Raw genomic sequence first — 23,276 nt, forward strand, 5'->3', positions numbered from 1 at the left:
CCCAAGTAGGAGTAGGGAGTAGTAGTCTGAATTTTGTCAGGAGCCATAAGTAAACCAGTGCAAGAAATCAAATTTTGCAAGGGATCATAACATTGGAGTAATATTTCTCAAGTGGCGGCAGCACAAAGTATATCAACCATATAATGAATAATGTAACACTGTGAAAATATTTTATGAGTAGGTCAATTACTTGCCCTACATATGTATGGCAAATTGTTGGACTGTTTAACATGCCTTGTGGCAACATTTTCCAATGAAAACGCTTAGCAGGCTGCTAAGCGTTGTTGTTTACTGCAGGAATTGTAAATGCAAACCATTCACAGTCTTGCTCAGATAAAGGGATAGTAAAGAAACAGTCTTTTAAATCTATGACTATTAAAGGCCAATTTTTTGGAATTATAGCAGGAGAAGGCAATCCTGGTTGTAATGCTCCCATAGGTTGTATAACTGAATTGATGGCTCTTAAGTCAGTTAACATTCTCCATTTACCTGATTTTTTCTTAATTATGAAAACTGGAGAATTCCAAGAGGAAAATGTTGGAGCTATGTGCCCATTTTCTAATTGTTCAGTAACTAATTTCTCTAAAGCCTCCAGTTTCTCTTTATTTAGCAGCCATTGTTCTATCCAAATTGGCTTATCTGTTAACCATTTTAAAGGTATAGGTTCTGGAGGCTTAACAATGGCTGCCATCAAAAATGATATCCTAATCTTTGGCGGGAACTCTGTTTTTCCGCTGGAAGTGGTTTTTTCAAACCTTGCACATTTTTTTTCTAGTACCATACCAGGGACATACCCCATTTCATGCATTGTATGTTCTTTGAGGGCTATATAATTGTTCTGGAATTAGAACTTGTGCTCCCCATTGTTGTAATAAATCTCTTCCCCATAAATTTATAGGTACAGAAGTTATAATTGGTTGAATAGTCCCAGGTTGTCCATCGGGCCCTTCACAATGTAAAATATAACTACTTCGATATACTTCAGGGGCTTTACCAACTCCAACTATATTAAATTGAGTGGGTTGAATTGGTCACGCGGATGGCCAATGCTGTAGAGAAAAGATTGAAATGTTGACTCCTGTATCTACCAAACCTTTAAATTTCTTTCCCTGAATAGTTATGTCACAGGTAGGACGTTTACTAGTGATTTGATTTACCCAATAAGCTACTTTGCCTTGTTTATTTGTGCTTCCAAATCCTCCTGTTCGTTTAATTTCACTTTTTCCCATTCCCACTTATGGCACAATCAGGAGCTGTGCTATGCGCTCTCCTGGCTCTGCTTTCCAGGGAACAGAAGTAGATATAACAATTTGAATTTCCCCATTGTAGTCTTGAATCAGTGACTCCTGTATATATTTGTACCCCTTTTAAACTTAAACTAGAACTTCCTAGAGCTAACTCCTATTGTCCCTGCTGGCAAGGGTCCACAGACTGCTGTTGGGAACTTTAGCGGGGGTTCCCAAGGCAGAAGGCTCACAGGTTTTGCAGCATAAGTCTACTGTGGCACTACCAGCTGTGGCGGGGGACAGACATTGTACAGGGGTGAGGGAATGGCCTGAGCTGGAAATGCCCCAGTTTAGAACGGGGCCTGAGACAGGCCCCTCATGGCATTTCCCAAAATCAGGTTCCCATCTTTATCAAACAGAGTGGCACTGATTAGCCCAATGTTTTCCTTTTTTACATTTTGGACATATTTCAGACTCAGTAGTTTTCTTTTTTCCCCTATCTGGTGGCCTGACTTGCTGATTTTTTCTACATTCTTTTTTAGTATGACCATGCTTCCCACAGTTAAAACAAGCTCCAGGAAATGGAGTATTTCCTTTATCCACTCTCAGTCTTGTCGTTGCCTGTGCTAGCAGAGTAGCCTTACGCAGATTACCTCCAATACCATCAAAGGCCTGGATATAATCAACTAAATGTGCTTTCCCTCTGATAGGTCACACAGCAGCCTGGCAATCGGGATTAGCATTGTTGAAAGCTAGTAACTGCAACACTATATCCTGAGCAGCCGAATCTGTAATCACCTTTTTAAGAGACTCCTGTAACCAAGCTGTAAAATCCATATACGGTTCTTTTGGTCCCTGTTTTATAGCACTAAAGGAAGGGTATTATTCTCCACATGAAGTGGTCTTTTCCCAAGCTGTAATACACACTCCTGTAAGCTATTCTGTGGCATCATCCTGCATGACCAGTTGTGCATCTAAACCAGCCCAGCCGCCAACCCCCAAAAGTTGGTCTGAGTTATATTAATTTGAGGATGGGCCTGGGTATTGCGAGCAGCCTGAATGGAAGCTTCATCTGCCCACCAAGTTTTAAATTGTAAGAACTGGGCAGGAGTTAGACAAGCTCAAGTAAGAGCATCCCAGTTAGTAGGAATCATCAGACTGGAAACGGCAACATTCTTTAAGAGTCTTATTACAAAAGGAGAACCTAGTCCATACTGATTAATAGCTTGTTTAAATTCTTTGAGTAATTTAAAAGGAAAAGGCTCAAATGTAGCTATAATATTTCACCATTGATCTGGGGAGTGTATTCTAACAAGGAACTGCCAAGCCTCTATATCACTCTCTCGTCTAGCTTGCTGAATTCCTGCCTGAATGGAACTAAGAGCAGTTGCTCGAGGCACTGCTCGAACAGTCACTGGGGCAACTACTTTTCACCCAGTGTCCTCTGGAAAAGAAAGATCTGGAGGGTCAGGCCACTCTTTTTCTTCAAAATAATAATGAGGGGGTGTAGAAGGGTAGGGATGAACCTCTCCCTCCTGTGCCTCTTTAGCTTTCACTGGCAAATAAACCTGATATGTAACCTCTTCTGTTACTTCATTACACTCTCCTTCCTCCTCATTATCAGTGTGAAAAAGTTCCAAGGTGGAATGAACCACAGCACACACTTGTCCCATTGTTACCCTGATGCTTCCAAGCTCCCCTTCTTACTCATCATGGGGATTGCTTTAAGAGTACTTGGGTGTCCTCCGGCTTAGTTCTACATTCTCCAACCATCACTCCACTGACCTTCAACCTGGATTCGAGCCCCCATGATGGACGCCACTTGCTGAGACCACCTCGGTCAGGGAGACCCTAACCCAGCGGCACTAGAGGAATTAAAGACACACACACAGAAATATAGAGGTGTGAAGTGGGAAATCAGGGGCCTCAGCCTTCAGAGCTGAGATCCCTGAACAGAGATTTACCCACGTATTTATTAACAGCAAGCCAGTCATTAGCACTGTTTCTAGAGATATTAGATTAACTGAAAGTATCCCTTATGGGAAACGAAGGGATGAGCCAAAATAAAGGGATGGGTTGGGCTAGTTATCTGCAGCAGGAGCATGCTTTTTTTTGTGGTTTAAGAATGCCTTTATGCAGTTTTCCTTCCTGGGTGGGCCAGGTGTTCCTTGCCCTCATTCTGGTAAACCCACAACCTCCCAGCGTGGGCGTTATGGCCATCATGAACATGTTACAGTGCTGCAGAGATTTTCTTTATGGCCAGTTTTGGGGCCACTTTTTGGCCAGATTTTGGGGGGCCTGTTCCCAACATGTAAGCTCAGTGCTTTGCTGAGTTCTCTGAGTAATCTTTCAAATTATTCAAATTATTGAACTTGAGGAGGAAGATGTGGAAGACCTTGGCTTGTTAGCAGTAGTTCAGAAATAGATGGTTATCCAGAGCCATGTGACTGGCATCTGTAGTTGCGACAGTGTTGTGGGACTGAGCCCTGAACTTGTGGATTCTGTGTTGACTCTGGGTGGTGTCAGAATTGAGTTGTTGGACAGCCAGTTGGTGTTGGATAATTGATTGGTGTTCAGCAAACTACAACTTTTTTTGTCAGACGAGATCTACCACAGGGGCCTTGTATTAGGGTTCTCTAGAGGGACAAAACTAATAGGATAGATATATATGTATAAAGGGGAGTTTATTTAGTTTTAACTCACATGATCACAAGGTCCCACAACAGGCCGTCTGCAAGCTGAGGAGCAAAGAGAGTCAGTCTGAGTCCCAAAACTGAAGAACTTGGAGTCTGATGTTTGAGGGAAGGAAGAATCCAGCACGGGAGAAAGATGAAGGCTAGGCCAATGTAACCTTTTCACATTTTCCTGCCTGCTTTTGTATGCTGGTTGTGCTGGCAGCTGACTAGATGGTGCCCACCCAGATTAAGGGTGGGTCTGCCTTTTCCAGCCCACTGACTCAAATGTTAATCTCCCTTGGCAACACTCAAAGATACACCCAGGATCAATACTTTGCATCCTTCAATCAAGTTGACAGTATTAACCATCATAGGCCTGGGCTGGAGGGAGACTTCAGATGTCTGAGGGAAGTGAGGGTTTATTCTGCACACAGGCTGTCACATTGTACATTGTCCTGCTATTCTGGGTCTCCTAGGGTGAGAGGGAAGAGAGAGTAAAAATGTTCTGAGAACTTATTCCCTCTCCCCACTTTGGTGCCAACCCCCACATGATTCTGACCCACTCTTGACCATACCCACTAAAAATTGACACGGCCACTCCTCTCCCAGGACAAGGTTTTACCCTCAGGAATTATGCCCACAATAGCTTTGCCCCTAGAGTTTTCTGCCAAGAATATACACAGGTGCCTAGAAGACTTCTGGCTTATCTCAACCCCAGACACTGAATCTGTAGCAGGAACCTGTCTCCTTCACCAACACAGGCTTCTGGACCTCCTGATTATAATCTCTTCTGCCTGTACAGACACAAAGTTTTCTGAAACAAAGAGATTTACTAATGTTAATTTATTGTTCTATTTGATTCTTGTATCTTTGTCCCACATTTTCTGTCTCTTTGTGTCTTCTTTATTTTTATTTTATATGCTTTTACTTCTTCCTTATTTTGTTTTGTGTATCTATATAGATGTATTCTTTGTGCTAAGAAATTTATTTTTGTGTATGTGCATATCTTTCCCAGAAAATAATGTATTTTAATATGATTATATGTTGTTTTGTTGAGTCTTGTTATTTACATTGGAAGCAACTGCCTTCAGCGCCTTTTATATATAAGGCAGTGCCAATATACTTCTTTAGAATTCATTTATTTTTGAAGTTTTTTTTTCTTTTTATTTAGCAGGACAGATTTTGTGATGGTATTATACTCACTTGATTATATATATATATATATATATATATATATATATTTTTTTTTTTTTTTTTTTTTTTTTTTTTTTTCAGAACTTTGACTATATCACACAATATCCTTCTGGCCTGCAAAATTTTTCTTGAGAATCCACTTGCTATCTCATAAGAGTATTCTTGCAAATAACACTTTTTTTTTTTTTTTTTGAGACGAAGTTTTGCTATTGTTGCCCAGGCTAAGTGCAATGGTGTGATCTCAGCTCACTGCAACCCCTGCCTCCTTTGTTCAGGCAATTCTCCTGCCTCAGCCCCCCGAGTGGCTGGGATTACAGGCAGGCACCATCACACAGCAAAGTTTGTATTTTTAGTAGAGATGGGTTCCCCCATGTTGGTCAGGCTGGTCTTGAACTCCCGACCTCAGGTTGTTGGCATGCCTTGGCCTCCCAAAGTGCTGGGATTACAGGCATGAGCTGCTGCACCCAGCCAACACATCACTTTTATGTTGCAGCTCCCAAGATTCCCTTTTCTGTGACTTTTACAATTTTGCTTACATATGTGTTTGATATAAATATCTTTGCTTGTATCCTAGTTTGTTTGTTGAGCTTTTTTATTTTTACATCATTTTTCAAGATTTTTCAGGGTTTTTTTATATTTTTTTACCTCCCTAATTTGTTTACTAATGTTTTAAATATTTTTGTTCTTATTTCCAGTTTTCTGATTTTCTGTAGTTCTCTGTGTTCATATTTCACTCATTGAGTGTTACTGAATTTATTTCATTTTTTATTGTTTCTTCCTCAAATTTTTATTTTATTTTATTTTTGAGATAGAGTTTTGCACTTGTTGCCCAGGCTGGGGTGCAATGGCATGATCTCCACCCACCACAACTTCCACCTCCCAGGTTCAAGCAATTCTCCTGCCTCAGACTCCCAAGTAGATGGGATTACAGGTGCCTGCCACCATGCCAGACTAATTTTGTATTTTTAGTAGAGACAGGGTTTCTCCATGTTGATCAGGCTGGTGTCAAACTCGTGACCTCAGGTGATCCACCCACCTCAGCCTCCCAAAGTGTGGGATTACAGGTGTGAGCTACTGCACCTGGCCACATTGTAATCTTTTATAAAAATTTGAACATTAAAAAGTTACCTGTCACAATCTTTGTAATATGGCTTTCTCCTGGCATACTTTGAACAATTGTCTGAGTTAGAGATTCTGAGAGTCTCTCAAACATGTTCTTTGAGTGTGTCTTGTCTGAAATTTTGTGTTTATTTTTTAGTTAAAGGAAATTATTCATCTTTTTTTTTGGAGATGGAGTCTCAGTCTGTCATGAGGCAGGAGTGCAGTGGCACGATCTCAGTTCACTGCAACCTCCGCCTCCCAGATTCAAGCAATTCTCCTGCCACAGCCTCCTGAATAGCTAGGACTACAGATAAGTGCCACCATGCCCAGCTAAGTTTTGTATTTTCAGTAGAGATGGGGTTTCACCATTTTGGCCAGCATAGTCTTAATCTCTTGAACTCGTGATCCACCCGCCTAGGCCTCGCAAAGTGCTGGGATTATGTGCATGAGCCACTGCACCTGGCCCCTAGTCATCTTTTTTCTTAATACTCAGTAATCACTTGCTACACCTGTTTTCTTTCTGTGGCACTGCAGTCTCTCTACTGCTGTAACATTTACCTTTGGTCTCAGCAGACTCAAACTGTCATTCCAAAGTATACCACCATTTCTTTCTGCACTATATATCATAGAAGACAGAAGCCAGTGTGTGGAAAGGCCTGGACAAGCAAGTAATAAAGAAATTTGAGCCAGTATTTTACTAGTCTTTTTTTTTTTTTAACAAAATCAAAAGTTGGCAAGTTACTTCTTTATTTATTTATTTATTTATTTATTTATTTATTTATTTTTATAATTTTTTTTTTTTGAGATGTATTCTCACTCTGTTCCCCAGGCTGTAGTGCAATGGTGCAATCTTGGTTCACTGGTACCTTAGCCTCCCAAGTAGCTGAGGTTACAGCTTGAGCCACTGCACTTGGCTGGGAATTTACTTCTAAAGGCATTATGTTATATTGGGAAGCAGGAATAGCCATGTTGGGTAAATGTAACAAACATTTGCTTTTCCCTTCTGTGTGACTTTGTGCTCACCTGGGGTACTTCAAACACTTAACTCATTTATAATTTTTTCTCAGATATATTTTGGTTAGTATGTTTTCATTACATATAAAGAATTAGAGCCTTTGGTATTTTGCTATGCTATCTGGTTTATGCAGTTTGTATAATATTATAGTTTAGATTTGTAATCTATATTTATCTGAGTCTAGTAAGTGGAGTAATTTGATATTTTTATTTCTTTCAGTTATATGTTCTCATTTTGCTGAAGACTTTTGCCCAGGGCCAGGCATTAAAGATTCTTTTCAAAAAGTGATACTGAGAGAATATGTAAAATGTGGACATAAGGATTTACAGTTAAGAAAAGGATGTAAAAGTATGAATGAGTGTAATGTGCACAAAGAAGGTTATAATGAACTAAACCAGTATTTGACAACTACCCAGAGCAAAATATTTCAATGTGATAAATATGTGAAAGTCTTTCATAAACTTTTAAATTCAAATAGACATAACACAAAACATACTGGAAAGAAACCTTTCAAATGTAAAAAATGTGGCAAATCATTTTGCATGCTTTTACACCTATGTCAGCATAAAAGAATTCATATTAGAGAGAATTCTTACCGATGTGAAGAATGTGGCAAAGCCTTTATCTGGTTTTCAACCCTTACTAGACACAGGAGAGTTCATACTGGAGAGAAATCCTACAAATATGAATGTGGCAAATCTTTTAACCAGGACTCAAACCTTACTACACATAAGAGAATTCATACTGGACAGAAACCCTACAAATGTGAAGAATGTGGCACATCTTTCTACCAATTCTCATACCTTACTAGGCATAAGCTAATTCATACTAGAGAGAAACCCTATAAATGTGAACAATATGGCAAAACTTTTAACCAATCTTCAACCCTTACTGGACATAAGATAATTCATAATGGAGAAAAACCCTATAAATGTGAAGAATGTGGCAAAGCCTTTAGTATTTTCTCAACCCCTACTAAACATAAGATAATTCACACTGAAGAGAAATCCCACAGATGTGAAGAATATTGCAAAGCTTATAAGGAGTCCTCACACCTTACTACACATAAAAGAATTCATACTGGAGAGAAACCCTACAAATGTGAAGAATGTGGCAAAGCCTTTAGTATTTTCTCAACCCTTACTAAACATAAGATAATTCACACTGAAGAGAAATCCCACAGATGTGAAGAATGTGGCAAAGCTTATAAGGAGTCTTCACACCTTACTACACATAAAAGAATTCATACTGGAGAGAAACCCTACAAATGTGAAGAATGTGGCAAAACCTTTAGTGTATTCTCAATTCTTACTAAACATAAAATAATTCATACAGAAGAGAAACCCTACAAATGTGAAGAATGTGGCAAAGCTTTTAAACGATCTTCAACCCTTACTAAACATAGGATAATTCATACTGAAGAGAAACCCTACAAATGTGAAGAATGTGGCAAAGCTTTTAACCAATCTTCAACCCTTAGTATACATAAAATAATTCATACTGGAGAAAAACCCTACAAATGTGAAGAATGTGGCAAAGCTTTTAAACGATCTTCAACCCTTACTATACATAAAATGATTCACACTGGAGAAAAACCCTACAAATGTGAAGAATGTGGCAAAGCTTTTAATCGGTCCTCACACCTTACTACACATAAGAGAATTCATACTGGACACAAACCCTACAAATGTAAAGAATGTGGCAAATCCTTTAGTGTATTCTCAACCCTTACTAAACACAAGATAATTCATACTGATAAGAAACCCTACAAATGTGAAGAATGTGGCAAAGCTTTTAACCGATCTTCAATCCTTAGTATACATAAGAAAATTCATACTGGAGAAAAACCCTACAAATGTGAAGAATGTGGCAAAGCTTTTAAGCGGTCCTCACACCTCGCTGGGCACAAGCAAATTCATAGTGTACAAAAACCCTACAAATGTGAAGAATGTGGCAAAGCCTTTAGTATATTCTCAACCCTTACTAAACATAAGATAATTCATACTGAAGAGAAACCCTACAAATGTGAAAAATGTGGCAAAACTTTCTACCGATTCTCAAACCTTAATACGCATAAGATAATTCATACTGGAGAGAAACCTTGCAAATGTGAAGAATGTGGCAAAGCTTTTAACCATTCCTCAAACCTTATTAAACATAAGCTAATTCATACTGGAGACAAACCCTACAAATGTGAAGCATGTGGCAAAGCTTTTAGGCGGTCTTCACATCTTAGTAGACATAAGATAATTCATATTGGAATTCATACTGAAGAGACTGTACAAAAGTGAAGAATGTGGCAAAGGCCTTTACTGCTCCTATTCCCTTACTAAAGAATGTGGCAAAGCTTTTCACCAGTACTTTACCCTTAATACACATAAGATAATTAATGCTGGAGAGAAACCCTACAAATGTGAAGAATGTGGCAAAGATTTCTATTGATTCTCATACCTTACTAAATATAAGATAATTCATATTGGAGAGAAATTCTACAGATGTGAAGAATGTGGCAAAGGCTTTAATTAGTTCTCATCCCTTACTAAACATAAGAGAATTCATACCATAGAGAAATCCTACAAATATGAAGAATGTGACAAAGCTTTTAACCACTTCTCAACCCTGCCTACACGTAAGATAATTCATACTGGAAGGAAACCCTACAAATATGAGGAATGTCTCAAAGCTTTTTACTGATTCTTATACCTTACTAAACATAAAATAATTCATAAAGGAGATAAATTATACAAATGTGAAGAATGTGGCAAAGCTTTTAACAAATCCTCATCCATTAGTAAACATAAGATAATTCATACTGGAGAGAAAACCTACAAATGTGAGGAATGTGGCAAAGCCTTTAGCCTGTCCCTCCAATTTACTGCACATAAGATAATTTATACTGGAGAGAAGCCCTACAAATGTGAAAAATGTGGCAAACCTTTTAACCAATCCTCAACCCTTACTACACATTAGATAATTCATGCTGGAGAGAAACCCTACAAATGTGAAAAATGTGGCAAAGCTTTTAACCAATTTTCAAACCTTACTAAACATAAGATAACTCATACTGGAGAAAAATCTTACAAATGTGAAGAATGTGGCAAAGCCTTTATCCAGTCCTCAACTCCTAGTAAACATAATTAATGATGGAGAGAAACCATACAACTGTGAAGAATGTGGCAAAGCTTTTAACCAGTCCTCAAACTTTATTGAACAAAATAATTCATACAGGAGAGAAACCCTACAAATGTGAAGAATGTGACAAAGCCTTTAACCAGTCCTCAATTTTTACTAAACATAAGAAAATTCATACTGGAGAGAAACCCTATGATTGTGAAAAATATGGCAAAGGCTTTAACTAGTCCTCAGTTCTTAACACACATACGATAATTCTTACTGCAGAGAAACTCTACAAACCAGTAAGATGTGACAGTGCTTCTGACAACATCTCAAACTTTTCTAATCATAAAAGAAATCATATTGGTGAGAAATCCTAGAAATGTGGAGAATGTAACAAAGTATTTAAATGGTTGTCACACTTGATTATAGGTAATATTCATATTGGAAAAATTTCCTACAAGTAAGAACAATGTGGCAAAGTTTTTAACTAATACACCTTATTGCACAGAAAATCATTTATATTTGAGAAAAATTGTAGAAATATAGACTGTGAAAAAGACGTCAATATCTGCTCACATCTTACTAAACACCAGAGAGTTCATGCTTAATAAAAGCATGATAAGTGCAATTACTGCCAAAAGATCTTTCAGAAAATATTATCCTTTAAAGTGAAGGAGAGTATTTATATTAAAGATGAACATTACAACCATAAAGAGGGTTGAAGTACCTTTACTTGTATCAGATCTTATTGTCCACATTTTGTACTACAGAAAAACTCTGAAGAGGTCACTCAAACTTTGTTCAACATCAGGGAATTTATATTGGAGAGCTGTCTTGCAAATGTAATAAATTTGGGAAAACAAATTTTCAAAAACTACAGCTTAGAAAACACCAGAGTTTATACGAAAATATATTTTCAAAGGTGTAGTAAAAATAAAAAAAATTTTAATCCAAATTTGTCTATGTAAATACCAGAATTTATAGTAGAAATATATGAGGAAGCGACACTTCGAATATTCTACTAAATGAGAGTTCTGAGTATAGAAAATAAAACTAAAGTTGGTAGAAAAATTATTTGTATATAATGTTAAGAGGAGTAAAAGATTTTTTGTAGAATAATAACTATATTCGGATTATACTTTGTTTCTTGAAAAAATTACAGATTTTTTGAAAAGCAAATGATGTAACTCAACTCATTATTTTCTGCTGTTTCTTCATTCTTATTCACTTGTGAAAGCTTGTGATCATTTGTTGCTGCATCAGAGGTATGAGAGATTCTTCTTCATTAGATGGGCATTATTTATGATCTTTTCTATGGATGAGTAAGAATATTAAAATGTAAGATGCATGGTGAAAATCTAAGTGGAGAGGTTCTTTGTGGTTAACTTATACTATTGAGTGATGCACAAGGTAGGTGTTAAGAGTAATATTCTTTTGCATTATGAGAAAACTAGTATATTATTCATATATTTTACTAATTGTACTTTTTTTATTATACTTTAAGTTTTAGGGTACATGTGCACAATGTGCAGGTTAGTTACATATGTATACATGTGCCATGCTGGTGCGCTGCACCCACTAACTCGTCATCTAGCATTAGGTATATCTCCCAATGCTATCCGTCCCCCCTCCCCCCAATTGTACTTTTATATAATAAAATGCAGTACATTTTAAAAAATTTTAAATTCTGTGTGAAGGTAACTGTTTCAACATTTTTAACATGGTAAATATTATTGTGCATTCAATAAAGTGTTGTTATGCCACAAAGATTAACATTTTCCACCTTACCAAATGGCATACGTAAAAGATGGTAACAATATACTATTTGGTAACATCATGGACTAACATCTGTAGTCATCTCTTTTGCCAGTGGCTTCGAACTGCAAATAAGTTAAAGAATATTGTTCTTATAGGTTAAATTTTTATTTTTATTTTAATCATTTAAATTTATTTTTCTTAATTTTTGTGGGTACATGAGTTTATATACTTATGCCATATATGGCATATTTTGATACACAAATACAATATGTAATAATCACATTGGGATACGTGTGGTATCCATCACCTCTAGCACTTATTTCTTTGTATTAAAAACAACCCAATTCTACACTTTTACTTATTTTAACATGTACAATTATGGCCAGGTGTGGTGGCTCATGCCTGTATCCCACCACTTTGGGAGGCCGAGGCAGGTGGATCACCAGGTCAGGAGTTCAAGACCAGCCTGGCCAACATAGTGAAACCCTGTCTCCGCTAAAAATACAAACAATTAGCTGGGTGTGGTGGCAGGCACCTGTAATCCAAGCTACTTAAGAGGCTGAGGCAGGAGAATCAAGGGAACCTGAAAGGTGGAGGTTGCAGTGAGCCAAGATCATGCCAGTGTACTCCAGCCCAGGTGACAGTGTGAGGCTCTGTCTCAGGAAAAAATATATATATACAATTGTTATTGCCTACTGGTTTATTTTTATGGTTATAATAAAAATTATTTTAAAATGTGCAGTTATGGTTGGGTGCAGTGGCTCACGCCTGTAATCCCAGAACTTTTGGGAGGCCCAGGCGAATGAATCACCTGAGCTTAGGAGTTCGAGATGGCCAGGAACCTGGGAGGTAGAGGTTGCAATGATCTGAGATCGTGCCACTGCACTCCAGCCCAGGCGACATTACAAGACTTCGTCTCACGAAAAAAAAAAAAAAAATGAACAGTTAAACTGTAATTGACTAATGGGTTATTTTTATGGTTATAAAAGAAATCATATACAAGTATAAATAAAATACATACACTTCTGAGTCCTGAGTAGATATCTTAAAATTTTATACATATATATATATTTGAACATGTGTCCTGTCTGCATGGAAACACATACCGACTTAATTTGGGTTAAATATACATTACTCTAAAAGATAAACTTTAGGCGTAAGGAAATTATAAAGTAAGTGAGTTTGTGTGAGTAGAAGTTTGTACTTATTTTCAGAAGAAATATTGGGGAAAAATTATTTTAACAAGGTGACTAGTATAAAACTAAAAGCCTCAAAAATGCTGAAAGCAAATGTATACTCTGCTTTGTATTGAATTTATTACTAGAGTTATTGTATATGAAAGTGTTTCTTAATTTTCATTTTGAGATAGTTGTTAAGGCATAGGAATGCTACTGACTTTGATGTTGCTTTTGTATTTTGAAAGTTTAATAAATTTGTTTAGTAAAATCTTAGGCTTTTCTTTTTTCTTTTTTTTTTTTTCTTTTTGAGATTGAGTCTCTCTTGTCACTCAGGCTGGAGTGCAGTGGCATGATCTTGGCTCACTGCAACCTCTACTTCTTAGGTTCAAGCAATCCTCCTGCCTCAGCCTCACAAGTAGCTGGGATTACAGGTATTGTGCCACCAGGCCTGGCTAATTTTTTACTTTTTTTTTTTTTTTCTATTTTTAGTTGAGACTGGGTTTCACCATGTTGGCCAGGCTGGTCTTGATCTCCTGACCTCAGGTGATCCACCTGCCGCAACCTCCCAAAGTAGTGGCATTACAGGCGTGAGCCACTGCGCCCAGCCAGTCTTACTTAGGTTTTTCTATACTTCAGATTATGCATAGGGATAAAAGATAATTATACAGGAATAATTAACTTCCATTTGTCCTATCTGGATGCTTTTGATTTTATTCCCTAATTCCTTTGTCTTGGATTTGTACTATGTTTAGCAAGACTGACTTTAGTAAGGATGAGTGGGCATCCTTGCCTTATACTAGCTCTTAGAGTAAAATCTTGCAAGGTATCCCTGTTTAATATGTTGTTAGCTGTGTATTTTTTGCTAATATGTGACATTTATTGGCTGAGGTGCCAATAATTTGATCTATAATTAGTTTTTCAGAGATTATCATAAGGGAATGTCAAATTTTGTCAAACTTCCATTGTGCATCTATTCTTTTGTACTCTGCATCTATTTACATGTTAGAGATGTAAAATCACAACTAATTTTACATATATACAAAAAATCATCAGAGACTACTATGAACATCTTTATGCATGCAAACTAGAAAATTTGGAGAAAATGAATAAACTCCTGGATACACAAAACTTTCCAAGATTGAACCAGGAAGAAACAGAAGTCTAGAATGGGCAAAAATGTATAAAACATATGATGAAATTAAATTAGTAACAAACCTACCAACTGTAAAAGCCCTGGATTATGTAAAATCACAGCCAAATTTTACCACATATACAAAGATGGGCTTGTACTACTACTGAATATACTCCAAGAAATCCAGGTGGGATTCCACCCTAACTCATAATATCAATATTATCTTAATTCCAAAATATAGTGAAGGCACAACAAAAAAAGGAAACTGCAGGCCAATATTTTTGGTAAACATTGAAACAAAAATCCTCCATGAAATACGAGCAATCTGAGTTCATAAGCAAATCAGAACGTTAGAATAAAAATAAGACAAGAATATCCAGTCTAACACTCCTATTCAACATAATTCTAGAAGTCCTAGTCAGAGCTATCCAACAAAATAAAGAAATTAAAAGCATCTAAATAGAAAAAAAGGAAGTTAAATTATCTTCACGATGATATAATGCTCTACCTAGGAAACCTTAAAAATTTCCAGAAATATTTTAATTTTAAAATGTAAATTATGACTGTTTACCTTCATTTCTGTGCATTTTTTGGTTAATATTATGGCTGATTGACAACATGTTTTAAGAAAACTTCTTGGACCAAAGCCATTACTTTATTAACGTAATTTGAGACAAAATAGCAATGAAAGTCAACATTGATGAGTGAAACAGTTACGATCTAGTCCCTGATAATCATTTCCTCTCCCACCCAACATGCAAGCACCATCTTTGTGTCATCTCTCCCAGTTCTAAGTGTTGCAGGATGCAGAGGACTAGAGAGACCAGTATCGGTGAATACAGGAGCATATTTATTTTAAGGTAGGCACCAGCTCAGTGGATTCACATCCAAACTTAAAAAGCAAAGACTGAGCTCAAAGACTGAGCAAACATACAGAAGCAAAACAAAGGCAGTTAACTATATAATGACAGGTCACGTAATTTATAGCATAACTGATGACTTGGCATAACTTGTGGCTTGGCATAGCTGGTAGCCGTGGAGCTGCGTTGAAAGAAAAAAGAACTGGCTAATATAGACATTTGTTTGTTTGTTTGTGTCCTTCACCCTTGCTTCGGAGGGGACTGTCTGGAGCCTATTTCTTTGGTTTTGCCTTCTTGAACAAGGTTATCTTCTAATTTTCCTTGAAGTGAGATTGCTAGGCAGAGGAAAACTTTTCTTTTTAACCCCTGCCTTGCCACATTCTGGGCTTTGGCTTTTACTTTTCTTGGAGTTAATGAATGCAGTACTTATTATTTTAAATTTCTGCCTCAGTTTCTCCCCTTTGATGCTTTTTATAAACAAAATTTTAATAGAAAGCATCACTATTACTTGATTCATTAAGAGACAGCAGGTTTTCTTCTTTAGGAACAGGTTGATATTTATGCAGAGCATTAGGTGAGTGGTAGTTTGCCTAGCTACAATTGTCTCTATAGTTGATTGAATGCTCCTAATAAGGAAGGATTAAAGGCAAGGAAGTATCAAACAACCTCCTAGTATGGTTAGAACTAGTCCTTTTAAGGTTTTGAATCCATCAAAGGAGGAAAACCAGCCTCCAAAGAGGGAATCAGGAGTCCACCCTTTCCAGGTCTGGACTGAAATATGGGCTAATTTTTTCATTCTTGCAGTTATTTCTACAAAGCTTTCTCATTGTTATCAATTTTTAAGCAGCAATTAGTTAGATTAAACTTTTCACATATTCCTTCTTCCTGGGCTAGGAGATAGTCTAAAGCCAGGCTATTTTGATAAACGGCCTTTCTCATTTTTGTGGGCTGCTGGGCAAAGAAGTCTAATGCATTTGTTGTTTCATTAGTGATAATTTCAAGGACTGCCTGCAACCTTATGATGCAGTTAAGCATGTAAATTGAGGTGCAGTACCCCCATGACCCATTTTGTGCCTAGGTAGCTGGCCCACATTATTGAATCCTTCTTTCAGTGGCCAATCTGTATCCTTCAAATCTCCTTTTTTTTTTTTTTTGAGACAGAGTCTCGCTCTGTCACCTAGGTTGGAGTGCAGTGCCACTTGGCTCACTGAAAGCTCCACCTCCTGGGTTCACGCCATTCTCTTGCCTCAGCCTCCCGAGTAGCTGGGACCACAGGTGCCCATCACCATGCCTGGTTAACCTTTTTGTATTTTTAGTAGAGACGGGGTTTCACCATGTTAGCCAGCATAGTCTCAATCTGCTGACCTCGTGATCCACCTGCCTCAGCCTCCCAAAGTGCTGGGATTACAGGCATGACCCACCATGCCTGGCCCCCAATCTCCTATTTGTATGTCTTTTTTTATGTTTATATTTCTTTTGTTTCTTCTTTTAATTTCATCATAGACAGGATACCCTAAGGTTTTTCCTTGTTGCAGTGGGAGTAAAAAGAAATATGGCTTAATTGTCTTGAATATACAAGCCCCTATCTATTTTCCTTGTAACTGTTGGTAGGCCCATGGCCCACAGATCCAATCAAGACCAGAGGGTGCTTGTCAGGTATTTGGAGCTTCAAGCTGATACCAGGTGTGATTTAGAGAACAGAAACAGGAGAACGGATTTGGATGAGGTGATTTGGAGTCATTTCTGCCCCGCCACAAAGTTTTTCTTAGTGTTTCATTATAATATTGCTGTTCTAAGCAGGTTAGTTCTCTTACTGGGTTTGTAAAAGCCTTTCCCCAGCGAGCAACACAGTATCTTCCAATGACAGAAGTTTTTCAGAGCCAGAGACTTGAACTTACAGGCATTGGTTCAGGGGAATTGTCAGTTAAAGTAAAATTATCTTGTGGCATTAACGTTTTTGCTTTTCAAGGCCACTGGTCTCCCATGTTCCTCTGTAAACATAACATGAAGAAATGCCTAGGCTGCCAGCAATGTTTTGAGCCAGCTGAGCAAACAGGTTCTCAGCTAAAGGAAGAGACTCTGGTAACTTCTAGTTTACATGCTTATAGAATGATTTAAAGACTTCGGATTGTTGCTGAGCCAGACAGGTCCAGGTTTCTTTTTTGATAACATATAGTTAGGTTGCTGGGTATGTATTTATGTAGACATGTAAGAGTAACCTGTAGTCCACATGGGTAAGTCTGACTTTAGAATGGTGAAGTTTACAGGATTACAGGTTTTTATTTTGCAATCTGGTTTTACTGGCATTTTGGTAAGCATAATTGGCCTCTGTTGTATGCTAAGGTGCCATGATATGCAGTACCAACAATCCTTTTTTGGGATCCCAGCGGAACAAGGAGGAGTTACTCTTGGCATGCATATATATTTGTAGTTATTTCTATAGTATTTAAGGGTAAGTTACCACAGACGGGTGAGTCTAGTATGCTGCCTGATAGGCATCCAAGTACAGAGAAACAGGCCCTTGGTAAAAGGGAGGGACCTTGGTTTGGTTTAAGAGGAAATTTTCCTTTGACATTGCACGAATCTTACACCATTCACCAGGCGAAAATTTAGAGTCAGAGAATACATAAGGTTTGTTATTTTCTGGGCCACAAATTGAGCAGGTAGTCTGATTATAAGTACAAGTTCCTAAGTGAGTCCCTGTACACTTATAACTATGGTACAATAGAGTTTTAGTTATACCAGTCCCTGACCAGGTAGTATGTGTACAGTGGGGACACCCTTCTATAGGTGCTTCTTCTAGCATGGTTAAGGGGGTAACAACAGCAAAACAATATACAGCTTATTTATATTCAGCAAGGACGGAAGAGGTCTTTATTTGGGGGAGGAGACTGAGCACAGTGACAGAACAATAGGAAAACAGTATTACAAGGAAAACTACTACTTTTAGGATTTTTAACCACATTTACTTGCTTGACAAGTTCTTAAGCTTTGGCTGTGCATAGACTAGTCAGATTCCTGTGTGTGACTAGAGTAGGGCTTGTTGTCTTCTTATGCTTCCGCCATTCATAGACTGGTCAGCTTCCAGAATGACCAGAGCAGGGCAGTTGTCTTTAGCAGCAGCTTGCTCTCGTCTCAGGATCAGCCGGGTTGGATGATCTGGGTCCTGCTGGCTGGCCCACTTGTCTTGGGCTGCTGGTTTTAGCCAACTGTGGTGGATCCAAGACACAACACCTGAAACTTTAACAGCAGTGGGAGTGGACTAGATTACAGTATAGGACCCATCCTATATGGGTCCTAGAGAAGTTGGATTCAACTTTTTAAACCAAACAGTCTCCAGGTTTAAAGGGGTGTACTGGGTCTGTCAGACTTACAGGTTTTTTTTAATGTACCAAGTAATGGACACTTTGCATAGCTATCCGTAGAGCCTGCATTTGCTTTTTAAAGTTAATTCCCCTAGTTCCTGGAGATCAACTTTTATTTCGCTTATGATTGGGGGAGGCTGACCGAACAAAATTTCACAGGGCAAATACCCAGTTTGTTTGCTGGGGGTGCAACTGACTCAGAGGACGACCATAGGCAAGACTTGATTCCATCTTAGATGAATTTCCTGATATTTTTTAAGTAGCTGCTTGAGTGTCCTGTTCATACATTTCACTTTTTCTAAACTTCATGGCCGATAGGCTGTGTGTAACTTCCATTTTATTTTTAATAGTCTTGTTAAATCTTGCACTATTTCAGCCACAAATGATGACTCATTGTTTGATCCTAAAGTTAAAGGCAGTCCAAACCTGGCGATAATGTCTTTTAAAAGTACTTTAGTTACTTTTCATGCTTTTTCTGTCCCGGTGGGGAAAGCCTTAACACATCCTGAAAAGGTGCAAACAAGCACTAGCACGGACTGGTAGTCCACAGCATGGACAGTTCTGTTAAGTCTGTAACCACGCTTTTACAAGGCATGGCTTCTACTTCCCGAATTCCTGGGGGCCAAGTGGGCCCCTGTTGCGGGTTGTTTTGAGCACAGGTTAAGCACTGTTTACAAATGGCTCAAGTGATGGCAGAGAGCCGTGGCACATAGAAATGGCATTTTAGTAACGTTTCTAGTGCCATTTTTTCCATGAGTTCCTTGATGAATTTGCTTTACAAACATATGAGCTTAAATCTTTGAAATGGCTAATCTCCCATCGAAGAATTTCCACCACCCTCCTTGAATATATTTTTCAGCCTCCTGGGCAAACCAGGGTCTTTCATTTGGTGTATAACTTGGGTTTTCTTGGAGAGGAGGTTCTGGGAGGAGAGCCATAGCTAAGGCTTCCTCTGATTTAAAAAAAAAAAAAAATGCAGCGTAATTATTGCTATCTGTTTTGCCTCTCTGTCTGCCTTTTTGTTTCCTTTGGTTTCCCGTGTTCCTGCCTTTTGGTGCCCTCTGCAGTGTATTACAGCTACTTTTTCTGGAGCCCATACAGCCTTTAGGAGCTGTAGAATCTTTTCGTTATACTTTATTTTTTTTTCTCCAGCTGTTGAAAGCGTTTTTTATTTGCTTTTTTTTTTTTATAGCTCCATGAATATGCAGTGTGGTAAAATCAAATTTAAAGCCAGTGTAAATATTGACCTTCTTATCTTTTGCCAACAACAGTGCTCTTGTTAGGGCTATTAATTTTGCTTTTTGAGCTGATGTTTTGACATTCGGGTTTCTGAGGGGTTGGTTTATAAAATTTATCCGACTGGAGGATACCTTATCTGTGGTTTTGACGCAGTTATGGAGAGGAGCTCCCGGTGTGATGGGAAGCAGAGTAGCCAGATTTAGGTGTTTACTTTTTTTTGAGACAGAATCACACTCTGTGATCTCAGCTCACTACAACCTCCACCTCCTGCCTCAGCCTCCCAAGTAGCTGGGGCTACAAGCACGTGCCACCACACCAAGCTAATTTTTGCATTTTTAGTAGAGACGGGGTTTCACTATGTTGACCAGGCTGGTCTCGAACTCCTGACCTTGTGACTTTCCCTCCTCGGCCTCCCGAAGTCCTGGAATTCCAGGAATGAGCCACCACACCCAGCCTGGATGTTTACTGTTTTTAAAATAATGTAAGAGTTTTTACATAGAAGCCCTTAGTACTGAGTCATTCTTGGGTTTGATAACCAATGATGCCCTCTTTGATCCATTGAAGTTATAACTGAGTGTGGCACCTGGATGGTTAGCTGCTGTCCCAGAGTTAATTTACTAGCCTCTTGTGTTAACAAAACAGTGGCAGCTAAGGTTTTAAAGCAAGAAGGCTTTCCTAGCACCACGGAGTCTAGTTGTTTGGATAAATATGCCACTGGGTGATGCTGTGATCCTATAACTTAGAGTCAGAACCCCGTAGCAATTTCCTTTTGTTCTTGAATATATAGAAAGAAAGGTTTACTTATATCTGGTAGTCCTAAGGCTGGGGCCTGAATTACAGCCTCTTTGATTTGTTTGAATGCTATTTCCTGATTAGTTTCAGGGGTTGGAAGCGCACAAATGGACTGCTATTCCTTATACCTAAGCTGGCATTCCTTGTGGCTTACTATGAAAACTAGACATTTAACCTCTTCATGGCAAATTTAGGCTTTCTTTTTAAATACTTAGTAACCTGCTTTCAATAAGAGATGGAGGTGGTCTCGGGTTTTATGATAACAGTCCTCTCGGGTTGGGGCTGCCAAAAGAAGGTTGTCCATGTACTGTAACAAGGTGCACTTATCATTTGGCATGGTATAGGCCTTAAGGTCTGAGGCCAACGCTTCCCCAAAGATTGTGGGAGAGTTTTTAAACCCTTGCAGGAGCCTAGTCCAGGTGAGCTGTGTAGCTTCTTTGTCCCACTGAAATGCAAAGATAGGCTGACTAACTGGTGCCAAGCAGATACAAAAGAAAGCATCCTTCAAGACTGTAAACCAGGCAGTACTTGCTGGAATGAGTTCCATTAAAGCATACAGGTTGGGTACCACTGGATGGATAGGTAACATGGCTTGGTTCACAGCACACAAGTTCTGCACTGGTCTATACTTATTAGACCCTGGTCCTGGCAGCAGTTTTTGTACAGGCAAAAGTGGAATATTGTACGGCAACTGGGACTGGACTAAAATCCTATGTTTATGGAGCCACTCTAAGTGTTTGTAAGCGCCCTGTACAGCCTTTTGGGGGAACTGGGTACTGATGAACCCGAACAGGAGTTGCTCCTGGTATTAATTTTACTACTACTGCTGCATGATTTACAGCTAACACAGGTCGGTTGTCCTCATCCCACACTCCAGGAATTTCTTTAACTAACTGAAATAATAATTTTTCTTTTACATAGAAGCCCTTAGTACTGAGTCATTCTTGGGTTTGATAACCAATGATGCCCTCATTGGTTATGAGGGCATATGAGGTTGCATTGGTGCTTGCGATTTATTTTTATAAAGTCTCCACTCCTCAACCTGTGGGATGGTAAGGGTTAACACCATGGCCTTTGGGTGAGTCAGATTTAAAGTCATATCTCCCTGTGGGCCAAAAGTAATTTGTGCTTGCAGTTTTTGGAGTAGGTCTTTTTCTAACAAGGGAACTGAACAATTTTGGAGGTACAGAAAATCATGCTGGACTTCTCGTCCTTCTATAACACACCTCTTTGACCAACAGAACAGCCTCTTCTTTGAGACACCAGTAGCCTCTACAATCGTTGTATAGTTCTTGGATAGTGGCCCTATGGGTCAAGTTACTACAGAGTATTCAGCCCCAGTATCTACCATAAAGTCCATTAATTGGCCTCCCAACTTCTAATGCAACCATAGGCTCCTGGAGGCCCAATGAGAAGGAGCCCAGTTTGTCCTAGTTCTCATATCTTTTAGCCCCTGCCAGCCCGATTAGATCAGTATTGCATTGCTTTAGGGTTTGGCAGCCCCTCACCGATGGCCTCTCTGTCACACGGCCTTAGCCATTTCCCTCATTGCCTTCTGGACATTCATCTTTACAGTGTCCTTTCTTTTTGCATCATGCACATTGATCCTTCTCTAACCTTGGTTGGCTCTCGAATCCCTGTCTAACTTGACCTCTTCCAGGTCCATGTCTGCATCCTCTCACATTAATAGTTTCTCTCTCTATGAGGGCTGCTGCTTATAGATTGAGTTTTTTTTTTTTTTTTTTTTTTTGAGACGGATTTTCGCTCTTGTTGCCCAGGCTGGAGTGCAATGACATGATCTTGGCTCACTGCAACCTCCGCCTCTCAGGTTCAAGTGATTCTCCTGCCTCAGCCTCCCAAGTAGCTGTGATTACAGGCATGCACCACAATGCCTGGCTAATTTTTGTATTTTTTTAGTAGAGACGGGGTTAAGCCATGTTAGTCAGGCTGGTCTCAAACTCCCAAACTCAGGTGATCCACCCGCCTCGGCCTCCCAAAGTGCTGGGATTACAGGCATGAGCCACCGTGCCCGGCCTTGATTGGCTTTTTTTAAAGCCTCTGTTCGACTTCCTTCTTTGCCCCCTGGTCATGGTTAACATACACTTTGGTGGCTACTTTTATAAGCTGGGTGGCATTCATGGCTGCAAAACCTCCCAGTGTCTGAAGATTTTGCTTAATATTACTGTGGGCCTGTCCTACAAATGATGTATTTACCATATGCTGATTTTCAGCAGCCTCAGGGTTAAACGGGGTTAAAAGCTGGTATGCCTCACAGAGTCCTTCATAAAACTGGCTAGGGATCTTACTTCCCTGAAGCACCTCTGAGATCTTTCTTATATTGATAGCCTTTTTTCCACCATCCCTTAGCCTTTGCATAAGTGCCTTTTGGTACCTCTGCAAATGCTGAAGCTGAGTCGCATCTTCTGAGTCCCAGTTGGGATTTTGGTCTGGGAACTGGCCCTGAGCATATGCCTGAGCATTTTCTTTTTTTTTTTTGAGATGGAGTCTCGCTCTGTCACCCAGGCTAGAGTGCACTGGCACCATCTCGGCTCACTGCAAGCTCTGCCTCCCAGGTTCACACCATTCTCCTGCCTCAGCCTCCCAAGTAGCTGGGACTACAGGCA

At 39.0% G+C, this 23,276-nt stretch overlaps 1 protein-coding gene across 7 annotated transcripts in view; it reads left to right on the forward strand.

The window, feature by feature from the left end:
* The window catches only part of ZNF493 (zinc finger protein 493), a 30,445-nt gene extending 18,350 nt beyond the window's left edge, over positions 1–12,095 (forward strand). For all 7 annotated transcript variants that reach the window (XM_047438678.1, XM_047438677.1, NM_001076678.3 and 4 more), the window contains one exon: positions 7,431–12,095. In XM_047438678.1, coding sequence (XP_047294634.1) covers positions 7,431–9,502 — 2,072 coding nt within the window. In that variant the 3' untranslated portion in view covers positions 9,503–12,095. The remainder of the gene's footprint in view (positions 1–7,430) is intronic.
* The last annotated feature ends 11,181 nt before the right edge of the window (positions 12,096–23,276 follow it).

Source organism: Homo sapiens, chromosome 19, assembly GCF_000001405.40.
Source record: "Homo sapiens chromosome 19, GRCh38.p14 Primary Assembly".
Classification (NCBI taxonomy): domain Eukaryota; kingdom Metazoa; phylum Chordata; class Mammalia; order Primates; family Hominidae; genus Homo; species Homo sapiens.